The sequence below is a fragment of the Homo sapiens genome, chromosome 6 (assembly GCF_000001405.40).
Source record: "Homo sapiens chromosome 6, GRCh38.p14 Primary Assembly".
NCBI lineage: Eukaryota > Metazoa > Chordata > Mammalia > Primates > Hominidae > Homo > Homo sapiens.
Window position 1 is genome coordinate 65,479,593 of NC_000006.12, and position 20,588 is coordinate 65,500,180.

The 20,588-nt window shown below is 34.4% G+C and overlaps 1 protein-coding gene across 4 annotated transcripts in view, besides 2 other annotated features; it reads right to left on the reverse strand.

Moving 5' to 3' along the window:
• Positions 1 to 20,588, reverse strand: part of EYS (eyes shut homolog) — a 1,987,247-nt gene that overhangs the window by 1,759,613 nt on the left and 207,046 nt on the right. For all 4 annotated transcript variants that reach the window (NM_001142800.2, NM_001292009.2, NM_001142801.2 and 1 more), the window contains 3 exons: positions 16,267 to 16,401; positions 15,071 to 16,015; positions 11,002 to 11,115 (listed from right to left, as the gene is read on the reverse strand). In NM_001142800.2, coding sequence (NP_001136272.1) covers positions 11,002 to 11,115; positions 15,071 to 15,818 — 862 coding nt within the window. In that variant the 5' untranslated portion in view covers positions 15,819 to 16,015; positions 16,267 to 16,401. The remainder of the gene's footprint in view (positions 1 to 11,001; positions 11,116 to 15,070; positions 16,016 to 16,266; positions 16,402 to 20,588) is intronic.
• Positions 4,322 to 4,491: an enhancer, noted in NCBI's record as "experimental_92954 CRE fragment used in MPRA reporter constructs". NCBI's record gives its function as "activates a minimal promoter by MPRAs in K562 erythroleukemia cells, with activity observed for the non-introgressed 6:66193892 or rs12664444 variant allele {active_cell/tissue: K562}" and the evidence as "EXISTENCE:reporter gene assay evidence [ECO:0000049][PMID:34662402]".
• Position 4,407: a transcriptional cis regulatory region, noted in NCBI's record as "Neanderthal adaptively introgressed variant 6:66193892 (GRCh37/hg19 assembly coordinates) or rs12664444 in the experimental_92954 CRE". NCBI's record gives its function as "modulates activity of the experimental_92954 enhancer by MPRAs in K562 erythroleukemia cells {active_cell/tissue: K562}" and the evidence as "EXISTENCE:reporter gene assay evidence [ECO:0000049][PMID:34662402]".

A 20,588-nucleotide genomic window follows, 5' to 3' on the forward strand; every position in this document is an offset into this window, starting at 1 on the left:
GTTGCCACATGGTGCTGAACTGTATTTCCATATATTAAAAATTAAACCAACCTTCTATGAAATGCGAAAATTAACTGAGTGGATTATAAACCTAAACAGAGGACTAAAACTGTAAGTCTTCTAGAAGAACGCATTGGATAAATTCTTTGGGATTTTGGAACATGCAAATGTTTCATAAAGAAGGCACAAAACATACAAAATGTGTTTTAAAATGATAAGTTTATTTTATTAACATTGAAAACTTTTGCTCATCAAAGTACATGGAAAAAAATTTTAAAGTATGCTGGGTGTGGTGGCTCACACCTGTAATCCCAGCACTTGGGGAGGCCAAGGCAGGTGGATCAGGAGGTCAGGAGATGGAGACCATTCTGGCCAACATGGTGAAATCCTGTCTCTACTAAAAATACAAAAAAAAAAAAAAAATTGGCTGTGCATGGTGGCACGTGCCTGTAGTCCCAGCTACTTGGGAGGCTGAGGCAGGAGAATCGCTTGAACCCAGGAGGCACAGGTTGCAGTGAGCTGAGATCGCACCACTGCACTCCAGCCTGGTGACAGAGCAAAACTCCATCTCAAATAAGTAAAATTAATTAATTAATTAATTAAAAGGCAAATCAGAGACAGAGAAAAATATTTGTATTATATGCATACATGACAAGTGACCTCTATCCAGGACATATACAGTTTTTCTACATATCACTAATAAAAAGACAACTTAAAAATGGCAGAGTGAGTGAGCCATATTGGCTTTCAATGACTACAGGATATTACGGGCCTTATATAAATATACACAGATACTACCATATTATTAAATATTTCATTGACATTTTCATGAATAAACCAGAGAAGCAACATATTATATTGATTTTAGATCAAATCACTGGAGTCAAATAATTCCAAATTATACTTATATTTCTGCCATTTCCTCAAATGGTAAAATAGAGATGAGATTATCTATTTTATTTACTACTTTATGGACTTTCTGATAAGAAGAAAGGTGCATATTAAATAGTAGTTAAAAATAACCAAAGGACATTAAATTAGTATACCAAAGGGATAGCTGAACCCCCATATTTATTATAGCATTATTCATAATAGTCAATATATGGAATCAACCTAGATGTCCATCAAGAGATGCCTGGATAAAGAAAATGTGGTCTATATACACAATGGTATACTATTCGGTCATAAAAAGAATGGAATCCTGTCATTCCTGGCAACATGGATAAACCTGTAGGATATTATATTAAGCGAAATAGGTCAGGCACAGAAAGATAAATACTGCATGTTCTCACTCATATGGGAGAACTAAATAAAATTTGAGCTCATGGAAGTAGTGAGTAGAATTGTGAGTATTAGATGCTGGGAAGGGTAGGGAGAAGGAGGATAGGGACAGTTTGGTTACTGGATACAAAATTATAGCTAGATAGAAGGAATGGTTTATGGTGTTCTACAACATTGTAAGGTGAATGTGGTTAACCGTAATTTATTATATATTTTCAAAAAGCTAGAAGGGAGTATTCTGAATGTTCACAACACAAAGAAATGATAAATGCTTGAAGTGATGGATAAGTTAATTACTCTGATTTGATCCTTACATATTGTACAGATATATCAAAATATCACTCTGTATCTTATAAATATAATTATTAAGTGTCAACCAAAAAAAGCAAAAGGAAAAAATAAGTATTCTATACATTGAACAACAATAAAAAGACATTCAAATTGGCATATATGTATATCTGTTTAATAATTTTAGCTAAATTTATGCTTTATTAAGCATTCAGCTCTTTTCATTTTATAATCAATTTACACTCTCATTTCTCAATACAAGCAATAAAGTTTCATTAGCATCCTGAGATCTCATAATTATCAATAATTACTATTTATTAAGTATAGTATACACTACCTTGTTGGCAGACACAAACTATTTTGAGACAATTTTTTGTTTGTTGTTTGTTTTGTTTGTTTTGTTTTGAGACGGAGTCTCGCTCTGTTGCCCAGGCTGAAGTGCAGTGGCGCGATCTCGGCTCACTGCAAGCTCCGCCTCCCGGGTTCACGCCATTCTCCTGCCTCAGCCTCCTGAGTAGCTGGGACTACAGGTGCCCGCCACCACGCTCGGCTAATTTTTTGTATTTTTATTTTTTATTTTTTATTTTTTTAGGAGAGATGGGATTTCACTGTGTTAGCCAGGATGGTCTCGATCTCCTTACCTCATGATCCATCCGCCTCGGCCTCCCAAACTGCTGGGATTACAGGCGTGAGCCACTGCGCCCAGTCCAATTTTGAGACAATTTATAGTAGGGTGGAGAACACTTGGAAATAATGTTTTGCCAATAAATCTATGGAGGATTCATCACAATGGAAGAAATTAATTGGAAGATTCAGAGGAAGACTCAGTTCTTTATCTGGATGGAATACGGTAGCAAAGGAAATTTTTCATGTTAGTAATTGATACAGAGCCTTTGCTTTTAAATGTTGTGTTATTGTGGATTATGCTGTGTTTGGAAATAACAGTCACCATCAATGCTAATAATTATCATAGTGACTAGAGAAACAAGAAGAAAAAATGCTACAAAATAAAGTTTGACAATGTAAAACTAATAGCAACCTAGAATAAGCTTATATAAACACCTGCCTATTCAATGCCTTAAAAATTATTTACATTATTAAATGTGTTAAACATTTGCCATAAATTATCATTCCAAATTTTATAAATACTAAGCTTTAACATTGACTATACATGTGTGCTTATCAGCTCATGTGACTCCATTATTTTTTAAAATTCCACTTATGAGAGCAAGGACTAGTTCAATTCTCTGCATGGCAGGGGGTTAGAGATAGGGTTAAATTGACAGAGATTAATTTTCCAAACTCTATCAGAATTGAGTCTCAAAATAGGATTAAAGTTCAATTATTAAAAATGAAGAAAGTTATATCTGATTTAGCTCCTGCCTGCTTTTCTTTCCATGAGCAAAATTCTATTCTTCACAAATTCTACCCACTGGTGAGGATTACTCAAATGGAGAAATATGTACTTTACATTGGAAAATATTCTGTCTACCCTCTGATCTAAACTGCTAACTAAATGTCTTACACTATTCTCTACTAGTCAGATTGGATCTCTTGTTATCTGTCCAAAATGGTAGCTGAAGTTACCATCATTGAATGCCATTGCAAAACCTTTTTAACATCACTCATCTTGGATTCAAACATCCCAGCATCCTTACAAATAAACTTTCCTATCTTGAAACTAAATGTTTATGGTAGCTTTAATTTAGTGAAACTAAAAACAGTTTATTTTCTGACAATCACCTGTTTCTACATCAAATTCACACTTGAAAATGTGTCATTAACTAATAATGTATAGCATAATAATTTTAACATTTCCTGGCATTAATCAAAAATACACATTTAAAAATTTAGCAATAAATCTTATAGTTATAAAATTTGAATAAATCACTTTCTAATGGATGCATAAATCTTACATAACATTTCAAATTTGGGATTACAATTAAGAATACATTTTCATGTGGTTTTATATTATATTTTAATTCTTAATTTTACTTTTATAATGTTTGAAATTGAAGTTTGACCTTATGGCTAATGATTCTTATTTGTACTCTATTTCACAATATGTGAAATATCTGAAAAATCAAGAATTTGTTTTTCTAAGGGCTCTTAAGTTTTGAAATATGATTGGCATGCTCTACACCATATTTATTTGCAGCCTTAATGTAAATTTGCATTAAATGTCAGTTATTAAACTGCTTTAGGTATGACAATTATAATATTCCAAATGATATGAATTCCAAAATTCTGTTTGGAAGGAAATTCAAGAGCAATGAGAACTTGACATAATGGCTAATTTTATAATAATCACTGGTTGATACGGCATTAGGAATATTAATTTTCTATGGTTTTACTATGGCTCATTAGAACATAATATTGATTATGAATCCAGACTCATATTTCAAATAATATATATTAATATGCACAGTTGATCATGGTAGAAAAATGTACATATATTGGTTTCTGAAGAGTTTTGAAGAAACCCATAATAAAATATTAGAAAATATGTATCAAATAAAGAGATAGATGGTGTATTAGTTCATTTTCATGCTGCTGATTAAGACATACCTGAGAATGGGCAATTTGCAAAAGAAAGAAGTTTAACGGACCTACAGTTCCACGTGGCTGGGGAAGCCTCACAATCCTGGTGGAAGGCAAGGAGGAGCAAGTCACATCTTACATGGATGGCAGCAAGCAAAGACAGAGAGCTTGTGCAGAGGAACTCCTTTTTTTAAAACCATCGGCTCTCGTGAGACTTATTCACTATCATGAGAACAGCATGGGAAAGATGTGCCCCCATGATTCAATTACTTCCTACCGGCTCCCTCCCACAACACGTGGGAATTCAAGATGAGATTTGGGTGGGGACACAGTCAAGCCATATCCGATGGATAGATATAGACATATTTTATACATCTTTTAAATGTGATGCTTCCTGTACACATTTGGCACAGGCTGTACATCTCAAAATATTTCAAAAAAAAAAAACCCTATTATAGTTACCAAACCTTTATAGGGTAATCATTCTAGTTTGCTCAAGATAGCACCAGTTTATGCTCATGGGGTAGAAGACAGAATATTGCTGAAGTATCTCAGTTCTCTCCAAATATTAAAATGCCATTTGTCCTGGATGTTTTAACCAAGTACTATTATTTATGGTTGCACTAAAACAAATAGGGATGAGTTTGATAAATCACCACTTGGTATTTTATATTCTGCCATCATCTTTTCCAGAAGTGTGAGATATAGAGTTATACATAAGCAGAAAATTATTTTTAACATGAGGATAATATGGTAATATAACCAGTAATAACACACCTCTCTTTTTCAATGCTTTCCAGATGCAGATTTTATTGTATCAATCATTCAAAGACAGCTTGTTGGACTTTGAAGACCCAAGCAGACAAAAGTAGGTAATTCCTCCTTATTTCAGTTGGTATGCAGAGAAGCTACTAATAATGCTACTCTTCCAGCACAATGTTTCCAGGCTGCCAGTGAGCTTGGTCAGTAGGAACGACAGGAAATTATGAGTTATGTCTATGTTATATGTGAGAGGAAAATTGAGGCTACTAGTTTTGTCATAGGGTTTATAGATATTTGTCTGTATGTTCTTGCTATAGAGGTTTGGTCAATTATTGTGTGGTACAAAACAGTGGTCAGTAAACTATAGCTGTGAGCTGAATAAGGCCTTCCACCTATTTTTGTAAACAAAGTTTTATTGATATAGTGAAATCCACACATTTATGTTTGTCTATGGCTGCTTTCATGCTGCAATAGCAGAGTTGAATCATTGTGATAGAGACCATATGGATCAAGAAGTCTAAAATATTTACTATCTAACTCTTTACAGAAAAATTTGCCAGCCCTTGGTATAAATCTACAACTATTTACATATTTTACTATGCACTGATGAACATTTCTTATTCTACAATAAATACTTACTTTTTAATAAAACTATGTTTCAAATTTGTTTCCCTAGAAAATCAATGATGAATATGTAGTTGCCCCTAAACTGTGCCACTATTAATGATCCACTGTAGGATATTAGTGACATTACTGACTGTATACAAACCAGAATGCATACATTAATTGAGCAATCATCAGCATCTACTTTTAAAAATGTTAGTAAATATTTTAGAAGACTGTCTTCTGATGATGAGCTAGGTGCATAAGCAGAAGGTCTTCTTACATATCACTCTGTGAAGCACGTCTTTTCATTTAGATCAAATGACTGTCCCAAAATTATTTTTCTCATTTTTTATTGCAAGTTCCTCTGTGCATACAAAAAGTAAAGTGATAGTTGTCAAAGTGTCAGCTCAGCTAGTAGACAACTTCACTTACAGTTAAAAAATGCCAGCTTTGGCTGTGCGTGGTGGCTCACTCCTGTAATTCCAGCACTTTGGGAGGCCAAGGCAAGTGGATCGCTGGAGGACAAAAGTTTGGGACCAGCCTGGCCAACATGGCGAAATCCCGTCACTACTAAAAATACAAAACTTAGCCGGCTGTGGTGGCATGCACCTATAATTCAAGCTACTTGGGAGCGTAAGACAGGCAACTCACTGGAGCTTTGGAGGCGGAGGTTGCAGTGAGCCGAGATTCACCACTGCACTCCAACCTGGGTGAAACAGTGAGACTGCCTCAAACAAAAAAAAAAATGTGAGCCATATTAATAAAAGCAGAAACTTCAAACTGATAATCAGTTAATTCCAACAATGGTTTTCTTTTTCCCTCCAATTCATTAAATTAAAATAAAGTTTTGCAAGTTTATTCTGTCAAAGGCAGGACATCTGACAATATTGGTAGTGCCATTGGGAATTTGTGAATTTAGCAAACAATATTCAAAAATAAAGTTATTGGTTCCTGTGGTGAAATTTTAAATACACATTTTGTTAAGTATGTGGCATAATACATTGTTTTGATCAAATATAGAAAAATGTGGAGCAGAAAATATAGGAAATGTATTGTGGTTCACACATAGTTCATATTTTGTTTCAAATCAGTCATGATATTCACACAACTAAAATAAAAACTGTAGTTGCAAAATTCACAAATAATTTTAAATACTTATAGAGTAATGGAACTAATTTGTTGTGACAAAACTATTATTGAAAAAATTGTAACATGGCATAATGTGCTTTTTTTCTTGCTTCTTTTCATCAACATTCAAAGTTTAGAAATGTTTAAGTCTCTAAAGAATGACTTTGAAAATGAATCTAAGGGTGCAGGGAAGCTTTGACATTTTGGTAACAGAATGCTCTAGCTGCATCTTGCTCAAAATCAGTTTCAAAAATTTGATTAAACAGCTAAAAAAATTTAAGTACCAAAGAAATCAGTTTTTGAACATTACAGTAAGTTGCATTTTTTAGATAAAGCATTGAAGTTTATTCCTCCATGATTCAAGAAAGACACTTAGCAAATTTAATAAGACTTCAAAAGTATCTAAGATTTTAAATATTATAACAGTGCTTTGGAATAGCTGGGCTTGTGGGAAGCATTTGAGGGGGCTCCTAAATTTCAAGGATAAACTTACATACTAGAGCATAATGGAAATAAATTGAGAGAGTCAACAACTTTGCAGTATCTAAATTTAGCCAAACGTTCTAAAGAATAATAAATAGAAATCATTTACTTCATGAATATCTTGGAAAATGTTATCTAACAAACTGATTTTGAATAAGTAAAATATAGAACTCCTACAAAAATATTTTATCCTTGAAGAGGTCCTTCACATCCCTTGTAAGTTCTTTCCTAGGTATTTTATTCTCTTTGTAGCAATTGTGAATGGGAGTTCACTCATGATTTGGCTCTCTGTTTGTCTGTTATTGGTATATAGGAATGCTTGTGATTTTTCAACAATGATTTTGTATCCTGAGACTTTGCTGAAGTTCCTTATCAGCTTAAGGAGATTTTGGGCTCAGACAATGGGGTTTTCTAGATATACAATCATGTCATCTGCAAAAATAGACAATTTGACTTCCTCTCTTCCTATTTGAAAACCTTTATTTCCTTCTCTTGCCTGATTGCCCTGGCCAGAACTTCCAACACTATGTTGAATACGAGTGGTGAGAGAGGACATCCTTGTCTTCTGCCAGTTTTCAAAGGGAATGCTTCCAGTTTTTGCCCATTCAGTATGATACCGGCTGTGGGTTTGTCATAAATAGCTCTTATTATGTTGACATACATTCCATCGATACCTAGTTTATTGAGAGTTTTTAGCATGAAAGGCTGTTGAATTTTGTCGAAGGCCTTTTCTGCATCTATTGAGATAATCATGTGCTTTTTGTTGTTGGTTCTGTTTATGCAATGGATGACATTTGTTGATTTGCGTATGTTTAACTGGCATTGCATCTCAGGTATGAAGCCGACTTGATCTTGGTAGACAAGCTTTCTGATGTGCTGCTGGATTCTCCTTGCCAGTATTTTACTGAGGATTTTTGCGTCAATGTTCATCAGGGATATTGACCTAAAATTCTATTTTTTTGTTTTGTCTCTGCCAGGCTTTGGTATCAGGATGATGCTGGCCTCATAAAATGAGTTAGGGAGGATTCTCTCTTTTTCTATTGATCGGAATAGTTTCAGAAGGAATGGTACCAGCTCATTTTTGTACTTATGGTAGAATTTGGCTGTGAATCCATCGGGACCTGGACTTTTTTTGGCTGGTAGGCTATTAATTATTGCCTCAATTTCAGAACCTGTTACTGGTCTATTCAGAGATTCAAATTCTTCCTGGTTTAGTCTTGGGAGGGTGTATGTGTCCAGGAATTTATCCATTTCTTCTATATTTTCTAGTTTATTTGCATAGAGGTGTTTATACTATTCTCTGATGGTAGTTTGTATTTCTGTGAGATCGATGGTGATATCCCCTTTATCATTTTTTATTTCATCTATTTAATTCTTCTCTCTTTTCTTCTTTAGTAGTCTGGCTAGTGGTATATCTATTTTGTTGATCTTTTCAAAAAACCAGCTCCTGGATTCATTGATTTTTTCAAAGTTTTTTATGTCTCTATCTCCTTCAGTTCTGCTCTGATCTTAGTTATTTCTTGTCTTCTGCTAGCTTTTGAATGTGTTTGCTCTTGCTTCTCTAGTTCTTTTAATTGTGATGTTAGGATGTCGATTTTAGATCTCTCCTCCTTTCTCTTGTGGGCATTTAGGGCTATAAATTTCCCTCTACACACTGCTTTCAATGTGTCCCAGAGATTCTGGTACGTTGTGTCTTTGTTCTCATTGGTTTCAAAAAACATCTTTATTTCTGCCTTCATTTTGTGAAGGACGTCTTCAAGGAAAACTATAAACCACTGCTCAAGGAAATAAGAGAGGACACAAACAAATGGAAAAACATTCCATGTTCATGGATAGGAAGAATCAATATCTTGAAAATGGCCTTACTGTCCAAAGTAATTTATAGATTAAATGTTATCCCCATCAAGCTACCACTGACTTTCTTCACAGAATTGGAAAAATCTACTATAAACTTCATATGGAACCAAAAAAGAGCCCACATAGCCAAGACAATCCTGGGCAAGAAGAACAAAGCTGGAGGTATCATGCTACCTAACTTCAAATTTTACTACAAGGCTACAGTAACCAAAACAGCATGGTACTGGTACCAAAACAGATATATAGACCAATGGAACAGAATGGAGACCTCAGAAATAACACCACACATCTACCATCATCTGGTCTTCAACAAACCTGACACACACAAGCAATGGGGAAAAGATTCTCTATTTAAGAAATGGTGTTGGGAAAACTGGCTAGCCATATGCTGAAAACTAAAACTGGACCCCTTCCTTACTCCTTATACAAAAATCAACTCAAGATGGATCAAAGACTTAAACATAAGACCTGGAATCATAAAAATCCTAGAGGAAAACCTGGGGAATACCATTCAGGACATAGGCATGGGCAAAGACTTCATGTCTGAAACACCAAAAGCAATGGCAACAAAAGCCAAAATTGACAAATGGGATCTAACTAAACTAAAGAGCTTCCACACAGCAAAAGAAATTGTCATCAGAGTGAACAGGCAACCTACAGAATGGGAGAAAAATTTTGCAATCTATCCATCTGACAAAGGGTTAATAACCAGAATCTACAAAGAACTTACAAATTTACAAGAAGAAAGCAAGCAACCCCATCAAAAAATGGGCGAAGGATATGAACAGACACTTTGCAAAAGAATATCTTTATGCAGCCAACAGATATGTGAAAAAATGCTCATCATCACTGGTCATTAGAGAAATGCAAATCAAAGCCACAATGAGATACCATCTTATGCCATTTAGAATGGTGATCATTAAAAAGTCAGGAAACAACAGATGCTAGAGAGGTTGTGGAAAAATAGGAATGCTTTTACACTGTTGGTGGGAGTGTAAATTAGTCCAACCATTGTGGAAGACAGTATGGTGATTCCTCAAGGATCTAGAACTAGAAATACCATTTGACCCAGCAATCCCATTGCTGGGCATATACCCAAAGGATTATAATCATTCTACGATAAAGACACATGCACACATATGTTTACTGCAGCACAATTCACAATAGCAAAGACTTGGAACTAACCCAAATGTCCATCAATGATAGACTGGATAAAGAAAATGTGGCACATATACACCATGGAATGCTATGCAGCCATAAAAAAAAAGGATGATTTCATGTCCTTTGTAGGGACATGGATGAAGCTGGAAACCATCATTCTCAGCAAACTATCGCAAGATCAGTAAACCAAACGCTGGAAGTTCTCAGTCATAAATGGGGGTTCAACAATGAGAACACATGGACACAGGAAGGGGAACATTACACATTGGGGCCTGTTGGGGGTTGGCGGCTAGAGGAGGCATAGCATTAGGAGAAATACCTAATATAGGTGACGGGTTGATGGGTGAGCAAACCACCATGGCACATGGCATACCTATGTAACAAAATTGCCCATCCTTCACATGTAACCCAGAACTTAAAGTGTAATTTAAAAATATATATTTCATCTGCATATTTTATATCAAAAAAAGATGTAATAATATCTTCCTTTAGCAGACTTTTTTTAAAGAAATTAACAGAAACCTCAACATGTGTTCAGTGAAAATGTCCATAATTTAAAATGTAATGGTTAAGAAGTGTCAAATAAACACATGAACAATTTCAAATTCATTGGTCATAAATGCAAGTCTGAAGAAAGATGTAAGTAATTTTATGGTGAAAAGCATGTGAACTGTTGTTCAGACTCTTCTTATGCTATAAAACATTTAGCAGTAATATGATTTAATTGTATTAACCAAATTGATTTATTAAACTTTACCATAAAAGAGTTCAGTATATATACCTTCTGAAATTGTATTTTTCAATAATAAAGGAAATATTTCACATTTAATTTGAAATACATAGATAAAATTAAAGTTACTTGTGTATATGGTTGTATACATATGCATTTTTTACCTGAAAATTGCTCATCACATTCACAAATGAAACTATTTGAAGTAATATTGCTGCAGTTTCCATGGAAACAGACATGTGGTTGACACTGGCCAATTATTTCTGAGCAATTCTTTCCTATAACAATGAAAAAAAGTTTTTTTTACATTGGATATCAATATTATAACCATCAGTTTTCCCTCAATTCTTTAATAATGAAAATATCAAATTCTGACTAATGTAATTTCAGTTATGAAACCATGTTATACGATGATGCATTTAAATTGAAATAAAAATTAATTTTGATACTTTACATAAGTTTTTCATCTTCTGACCCCAGACTATAATATCCAAATATTTTTTCTGGCTTGTAGTATTTGAGCTTTATTTAATTTACATAATATTTTAAAATTTTAATTGTATTTTCATGATAGATAATATTCATATATTTAAGTACCAGTTTTTCAACATACATTGATAGTATTGCAGTGATAATTTACAAAATGACACATTCAAATGTGTACTGTTTCTCAGACTTACCCCCTAGCCAAGGGAACAATTCAAAAGCAGAAATGGCTGCCTGGATTCTCAGAATATGTGCACAAACTTCCAAATTCAACACTTCTTTGCACTTGCTGGCATATCAAATTTTCCAAATCTCACTTACACATACTATTGTGGTCCCACTATATCAGTTATATACACACACACACACACACACACACACACACACACACAGCCTTCCATAACATACTCATTCTATGCATATTTAATCATCTTATAATACCTTAGTAGAGGAATGTGCCTTGAAAATCCCAGGGCATAGCAAGTGGACAAATGCTGTTACAAACCAACTGCATGTAATTTGGCAATATGTTTTTTTCCCCAGTTTAATTAAGCTCTTAATTTAATTTATGAGCAGTTTTTGCCATTATCATTGATGTCTTTCAAATTCCTTATATACTGACATCCCTGCCTCACTAATGCAGAACTTTTTTCTTCATTTGCCTCCAAGCAACCCTAAATGTAATGAAAATATAAATAATGAAAATATAAATAAAAATCATTGTGTTTCAAAAGGTTCTCCAAACATAAAAATTAAATTAACAGTATAATGCCAATAGGCCACACCCTAATTAAAACTTAGTGAGTTTTATGAGCTAAATTGTGCCCACCCACCGCCGCCAAATTCATATGTTGAAGTCCTATCCCTCAGCATCACAGAGTATCTATATTTGGAGATAATATCTTTAGAGAAGTACGCAATTAAGGTTAAATAAGGTCAGTAGGGTGCGTCCTAATCCAATGTGACTGGTGTGCTTTCAAGAGGAGAACATTTACACACAGATACATACAGAGAAATGACAATGTAAAGACACAGGGAGAAGACAGCAGTCTATGGACCAAGCAAATAGATCTCAGAAGAAACCATATCTGCCAATCTTTGACTTTTGGCATCTAAAACTGTGAGAAAATAAGTTTCTGTTTAAGCCATCCAGTCTATGGTACTTTGTTATGACAGCTCTAGCAAATTAATGCAGTAAGCATTCTCAATTGTTTTGACAATTCTACATATTTCATTATCTTCTTCGATTTTTAAAATTGAAGTAATTATTTATAATTAAAGTGGCAAATGGAGTATTCTTAATGTTATAAAAATAAGTAAGCATTATTTAGGTATTTTATAGTGCTCAAAGCTTAACGATTTAAAGCACCTATGGCTGTAAGAAAGAGAAAGAGAGAGAAAGAAAGAAGAAAGAAAGAAACAAACAAACAAAGAGAAAGAAAGAAAGAGAGAAAGGAAGGAAGGAAGCAAAGAAGGAAAGAAGGAAGGAAGGAAGGAAGGAAATTGAGTAGGAAGCAAACCATTCTATGCAGTTATAATAAAACCACTAAAATAATATCCCATAAACTATGAATGCATACACGCAAATTAATATTCTGACACATGGTAGAAATTTTCTGGCCAAATGTTCTTTAAAACTCTTTGGACAGGTGAAAATGGATGCTTTAAAGACTGTCTATTAAATTGCTTTATCATTCACTCCAAATCAGCAGTTTGAGTGTTTTCACATTTCCTCTAGTCTGCCTTAACTTTAATCACCTGATATACCCCAGCGGAAAGAAGAGGTATAACTTGCACCTTCTATCACCAATGCCAACACAGTCAAATGAGAATTTGATCCACGTTATAGAGACAATATATTCAGTGGCTATTATTGGTATTAACTTCTATAATAATCTTGGTACTAAGCTATCAAGTTCAAAATGACTATTTGAAAGATTGGATGAGGTGAATTTTACAGCCTACAATGGCTTATTGAGGTCTTCTATTACATCTTTTTATTTTATCTTATTTTATTTTTTGAGACAGTCTCCCTTCATCGCCCAGGCTGGAGTGCAATGGCGCGATCTCAGCTCACTACAAACTCTACCTCCTGGTTCAAGGGATTCTTCCGCCTCAGCCTCCCGAGTAGCTGGGATTACAGGCACCCGCCATTATGCCCAGCTAATTTTTGTATTTTTGTAGAGACGGGGTTTCACCATGTTGGCCAGGCTGGTCTTGAACTCCTTACCTCAGGTGATCCGCCTGCCTCGGCCTCCCAAAGTGCTGGGATTATAGGCATGAGCCGCCTCCAAGTCGGCTCCCATTACATGTTATCACACAGCCTCTTTAAACTTGGCTCCAATGGAGTCAGCCTCAGGCACAGGGGAGAAGGAATCCCCCTAAAGCCTGCCTAACAAAATTACAGTTAAATCCCTGCAGGTGATCTGCTCTAGATATAGCTCTGCTTTAACCTTCCTTCCTCTTTTATGACCAAAATACATACCAATCTGCTGTTTTCGTATACTATTATTATCAGCTGTGTCAAATATTTCTCTTTGTTAGATCATCGTGGTCTTATTTCACTTGTAACTCTCCATGCCAGGTCTGTCAAACCCTCAAATAAATTCTTCCACAAGTTTCCAAGCTTTAAATGTTCCCTACATTTTTTCAGTCTTTCTCCTCACTTTCCTCCGATGACCCCAGAATCCTCTAGTATATTCTCAAGTAGAGAGAGTTTTATTCCCTTCAAACTTCACGTTAGCCTCAGGCAGCATCATTTACATTTTTTTTTAGATTGCCTTTCCTCTGGCTTAATTACTCACCAAACATCTTTTTACAACCTTTTCTGATTATTGCCTTTTATTGAGCTTATTACAACCGTTATTAATTATAACATCTTCTTTCCATCCTTGTCACTATCAGTTATAAATCACCATTTGGATGCCACACCAACATCCATTTAAAACATTGCTCTTGGCTCACAATTATCTGTTCCTCTCCAATCCTGCCAAGCAGCTTCAATCACTTCCCTTCAACCATAGTTCCCTAACTTCCTCTACTGAGATGCATAATTTATTTTCAAGTTATCACCTATCTAAATACCATAATCTTGGGAATTCATTCAGTGACTAAAAGCTTTTATATTATTCTGATAATCTTATGTTTTAATGTATGAGACGTTAAGAATGGATGTTGGGAAAGATGTAAATATAGATATTTCACTATTAAACATGTTTCTAAGAGCCCTCCTTCAGTTAAGCAAAAAGCTTATTTTGGAGGATCCCTGATAGGATTTGTATATGTCCAGAATCTATATCCAGCCAAATCCAAGGAATCTATTAAATTTTTTATTTATTTTTATTTATTTATTTTATTTTATTTTTATTTTTATCTTTTTTGAGACGGAGTCTCGCTCTTTTGCCCAGGCCGGACTGCAGTGGCGCTATGTCGGCTCACTGCAAGCTCCACCTCCCGGGTTCACCCCATTCTCCTGCCTCAGCCTCCGGAGTAGCTGGGACTACAGGCGCCCTCCACCATGCTCGGCTAATTTTTTTTTTGTATTTTTAGTAGAGACGGGGTTTCACCGTGTTAGCCAGGATGGTCTCGCTCTCCTGACCTCGTGATCCACCCACCTCGGCCTCCCAAAGTGCTGGGATTACAGGTGTGAGCCACCGCATTTAAAATGTACTTTGATTTCTGTTAACAGTTTATAAATGCACTGTGTTTCTCTATTTTAATAAAATTATATATTTTAAACAATCTTACCTGTAAATGGTGGGTGACAGACACATTCATATGCTTGCTCATCCCAATTTTCTCTTTTATTAATGCAACTGCCATTATTTTTACATGGTTTAAAAGAACATGCATCAAGTTCCTGGCAGTATTTTCCAGAAAATGGAGGCTGGCAATGGCAGCTATATGTCTTGCTCCAAGCTTCACTAAGACATTTACCATGACCAGAGCAAAATTCTGAACTCAGAGATTCCTGGCAGAACTGCTGTTTCACTGTCACATTTAGTCGAAGTCCCAGTGGACAAGGTGATGGACCACTTGCCATAACTGTGATAAAATAATGTGTCCCAACACTCAGCCACTTAGAATTAACAGTGTGCATTCCTTTTAGTCTGCAGCCAAAAAGTAACTGATCTTCCGTTGTGGTATTTTGCACACAGCCAACGAAAGATGTTTCAGAAACATTCATCAAATTTATTTCTGGAAATTGAAGAGATGGTTCAGAAGAAATTACAAGGATATCTCCTAATTGAATTTGCAAAGGGCAAATCTGGGGAACAGCTTGATTGCCTGAAGTATCTATTTTAGTGTTTACACCCAAAAACCAGCAATCTCTGTAGAAGTCCAAGCAGATGTTTTCTGTTAGTGTCCAATTTACCACATATGATGAGGGTTGTGGATGCCATTCTTCCACCAATTGCCGTCTACATGTTTTTCCATTTATGAAAGAGCTGTGAAAAACCATCAGGCTCAGAATGACGATTGATTTGTCAGTCATTTTCGGGTAGCTGTATTTTACAGTTTATCATAAAGAATTGCTGCAAAATGGTGTTTTAAGTATTACCGGAAATTTCCAAGTAAAGTTGTGGTTAAGGATTCCTGGGAATTGGAATTGACCTTTTTTCTATACCCAAAGTAGCTTTGATGACAATGTGCTTTGATGGAGAAACAGGAATTCAAATGTTGTAAATATTCCTTTAAACAGAAAAAAACATATATTGTTAGTGAAGTTTTCCCTAAATTAATAATATAGAAAATGCTAGCTCTTTTTGTGGATTTCATAAGAGCCTACACTGCAAAGATAGTGTCACCAGCAGCTGGGGACCTTCTTTGGGAAAGAAGGCCAAGAAAAACATGATCAAGATATGTTGATCTGGTCAAGCTTTATATAGTCACCTGATTCTGAAAAGTTCTGGTTTCATGACATAATTAAGCCAGCAACTTACTGCGGTCTTTTGTGTTTTCTCTTTACACCAAGCTTCAATCTAATCAAAACACAGCACAGCCAAGATTCTTTTACAGATGGTTTCAATTTTCTTGGGAGATAAGCATTCCTCTTCTGATTAGTTTTCAAAAAACACCTTTAAAACGTAGAAGAGTAAACACCATTTAAACATATTTTTCATGTAATATTTTATATAAAAATAAGCCTTAAAATAACTCATAGTGATAATCATGTTCCTTTTATGATAATCCAGAGGATGGGAACTCCCATATATATGAAAATTCTGTTGTGCAAATGACTAACCTAGAATGAGTCTTCTGTAGGAATGGTGGAAGGTGCCAGATAAAGAGGGAAAAGAAAGTCAAAAAGCAGTAATGAAAAGATTATAAATATAAGTAAATAAAGTAAAAATAAATATAAGTTAAATGGTAGTAACTGAAAGGAGGGGTCAGCCCATCAATTCTGTTGTTCCAGAGGGCAAGAAAACATAAAGGATTTCTGAGTTTAATATATTGACCTATTTTTTTTTAAAAGGTAACTACCAATTATTGAAGGTTTTCTCTGTACAAATCACTCTACTACTTGATTAACAAATAAACTGCAATCCTCACAATTAAACTCAAATTTTGAGAGGAAAGGTAAATGATGTTAGTGAAAAAAACGTGTTCTTTGGATCTCAGTTATGTTATTCATTTGTTTAATGTCCTTAGGCAACCTGAGATTTAATTCTCTCCACTTTCAAATAGGTACACCAGGGAGAAGTACACCTAATTAACAAGGTAGTATTGAAGATGGAATGACTACGTAAACATATATGAGTCACTCAATAAATAGTAGCTTTTATTTTTGTTATTGTACAATTTCATCCAGCAGGTAAGTGGTATATGTTGGATTAAAATTCAGGTTTGTCAGATTCAAAATATCGGCATTTTCTACTGTACTATAAAGATCAATTAAATGTTGTTAAAATACATTATGGTATGCCATTATATAATTTATTTGTTAATTCATATCAAATCTTTATGGTAAGTCTAACATTTTAATGGGTATTTTAGATCAGGCAGAAATCAAATTTGAATTATAAATTACCTCTTTGCAATTTCAGTTCTACATATTATAAATCTATGAAATATAAATTCATGTGACAAATAACACAAATATGCATATAGAAAGATAAAATACAACTTCTACATAATTCAATGTTCTACATAATCATGTCAATTTCAAATATATTAATCACCTTGTTAATTTTATAGATTTAAATTATCAATCTTGCTAAAGGTTTAAAAAATAATTCAAACAAGTAAATTTGAGCTCAATCTATGTGCAAGGCAATATGCTCAGTACCAGGATTCATCAATAATCAGTTGGAATAGGGTATCAATGGAAGGAATTAAGAACTCAATGAAGGAGACAGATCATTAGACAAGGAACATCATCAAATTGCTATCAACAAAATAGTCTAACAGTCTGAGACATGTAGCAAGGACATTTAGTCCAATCCAGGAAACAAAATCTAAGCTAAAATGATAAAACGGAATCACCTGGGAAAATTGCCAAAGGAAAAATGTTCCAGGAGAGAGCATCTACATCTAAAGATTTTGAGGTGAATGTGACACTGGATGCCTTTAAGGAAGTAAGAGAAGTGGAGCTTTCTCATCAAAGAGGGAAAAGGAATTACAATTAAAGATAAGCACTCCATTTAGGAAGAGATTATATCAAGAAGGAGCAGCCATTCTCAGTAAAGGAGCTCATATTTTATTCGAGAGCAATGAAGAGCCTCTTGAAGATTTCACATGGATGATTAACAAAATAAATAAATAAATAAATCCTCACTTAACTTTGTCCATAGGTTCTTGGAAACTGCGACTTCAAGCAAAACAACATATGACAAAATCAATTTTGTTCTCTCTTCAATGTTTTAATGAAAAGACAGAGAAGGAAAAGATGTTGAGGACCAACATGTTGTGTCGTTTTGCTTAAAGTCACAATTTTGAAGAACCTGTCAACTACATTGAGAACTCACTATAATTTAATAGCATTAGTCTAGTTTCAAGGTGAGGAACATATTGGTGAGTGCAATTAAAAGAATTGAGACACTTGTGGAGGAGAAAACAACACTAATGTAGTGAAACAATAATGAAGACTAATTAGTACAGAGGCAATACAAATATAACACTCGTGAAGTCCATAAATATTGAAATGGTAGAATTACTACATCTCCAAGGCTGTTGGCCTAAAGAAAGAGAAGAAAATCCAGGAAGACCAGTTGGAGCAGTAAGACGGCAAGGAAGAGGGGAGAAGTCTGATTCACTTGTGCATACGCTCAGTTTAAGGTCTATCTGAGTGATTTTCTAGCACAAGTGTTCAGAAATCACAAGAGAGAAAGTGAGGTTTTAGAGAAAGATATGAATCACTAGGCAATATTGAAATACTTTTGTACCTGTAAATCACAAATTTACAGTAGTAGCAACCTGCACAGGTGTATTATTTTCCCAGCAGCTTAGTTGAAAAGGATACACTAAAGATTAAATAGCAAATGAGTTAAACACAGTCACAAATTTATTTCCACATGTAAATGCGAGGAAACAAATTACATTTGCATTGAAGCAAAATTAGGCCTATGTGACATTTTTAGACTGACTGCAGATGTGAGCCCACATTATTGTGGGGCTAATCCCATGGTTCTTAGAGCACGCTGGGTCTCTAATTATTGTGCATTTATGTTTTCAAAGAGAAAGTGGCTTGATGCATTGCATTTCCACCTTGTGAAAATTTAAATAAATGAAAATAGCAGCAAAGGAAAAAAAACACTAACACAAAAACATCTATTAAGTCAATGTATATCTATACATGCTGAATACAAAATGCTTTGGATTTTATTGGGAACTAGAGTAATATAAACATTATAAATTTGAAAAAGGTGATGTAATTTTGACCCCAAAGGTATGATGTTATGTGTCTCAGTTTTTCATTTATAAAGACATTCTTCAAACCCTGTCAAAATAGCAAGCCAAATGGCATTCTCCTCAATTCTAAACACACATATTGATTAAAATCAGGAAGTAATTTTATCCCAGGTGATATTACTATTAATATCTTATAAATTCTTGGGCCAAGAAGTCCAGAAACCCAGAACTACGATGGAGCCATTGACAGCATTTCACATAATTACAACCATAACATCACTTGACAGGTTACGTTACCAGAAAAATATTCACAGGAAAATATGTGTAATTTCAGAACTGTATGAACTGTATCACTTTTATAGTAGCTTTGTAGTTAGGTTATTCTAACAAATAAAGTCCAACTTAAATTCAGTAGTTAAGAAAACATGAACAATATTTCTTCTTTCACAAACAGCTGTCATCTTAAATTACATCTTTTAAAAAAACAAGGTAATAAGTTTAAACAAATAAGTTTTATATAAGCCAAAAAATAATTTGAATAGAACATGCTCATTATAATAGTTGGCATATAATAGGCATTCAATTAAAGATAGTTGAGTAGAGATTGGAGATGATGGATGTAATTTATTTCTATTTGCACTCAATAGACAATATTATGAACTGTGGAAGCCTTTAATAAGCTTGTAGTTGATTCTACATACCTGATATTTTTCATGTTTCACTTCTTTAAGAAGTATGACCTCCACAATAAGCAGCTTTTTATTTGTATAAATTATACATTGTACTTTCAAAACATATACAAAGAGGAAAATTAGAAATAGAAGAGATAAAATTAACAGATACAAAAGTTCTCATAATTTATGCCTGTGCTCTAGAAAGTAAGCAACAAATTTTACCTACCACAGATTGGACTAAAATTATAGGAGTGAAAATGTGTGTTTCAGAAATGCTACCAGCAGTGTGAATGATGAACATTTTAGCAAGGATACTAGAAAAGGGAAAAAAATGGTAAATTTTAAAATAAAACTGAGAGTACTAGAGAAGAGACAGCAGATTTATTCATATTTTTTAAGGGAGTAGTGACTGACTTTATCGATTATGCTCCTACTATTGGGAGACACCGGTCCTTCTTTAGTACACTGTCTTGATTATGACAATGATCCTGTGAGGTACATAGTCATGGCCCCATTTTAAAAATGAGAAAACTTAAGTCACCATAGTGTCCAAAGAAATAAGAATAAAAAGAGTAAAAAATAAAAAATAAAATGAGAAAACTGAAGCACAGAAAGATTAAGGACTTGCCCAAGCTCACACAATCAATAAGCAGTGGTGCATGTATTGACCTGACTCCAAAACACATGTTCTCAGTCACATTTACCATCTCATACACAAATGCACACACCCAGTTAGGCTT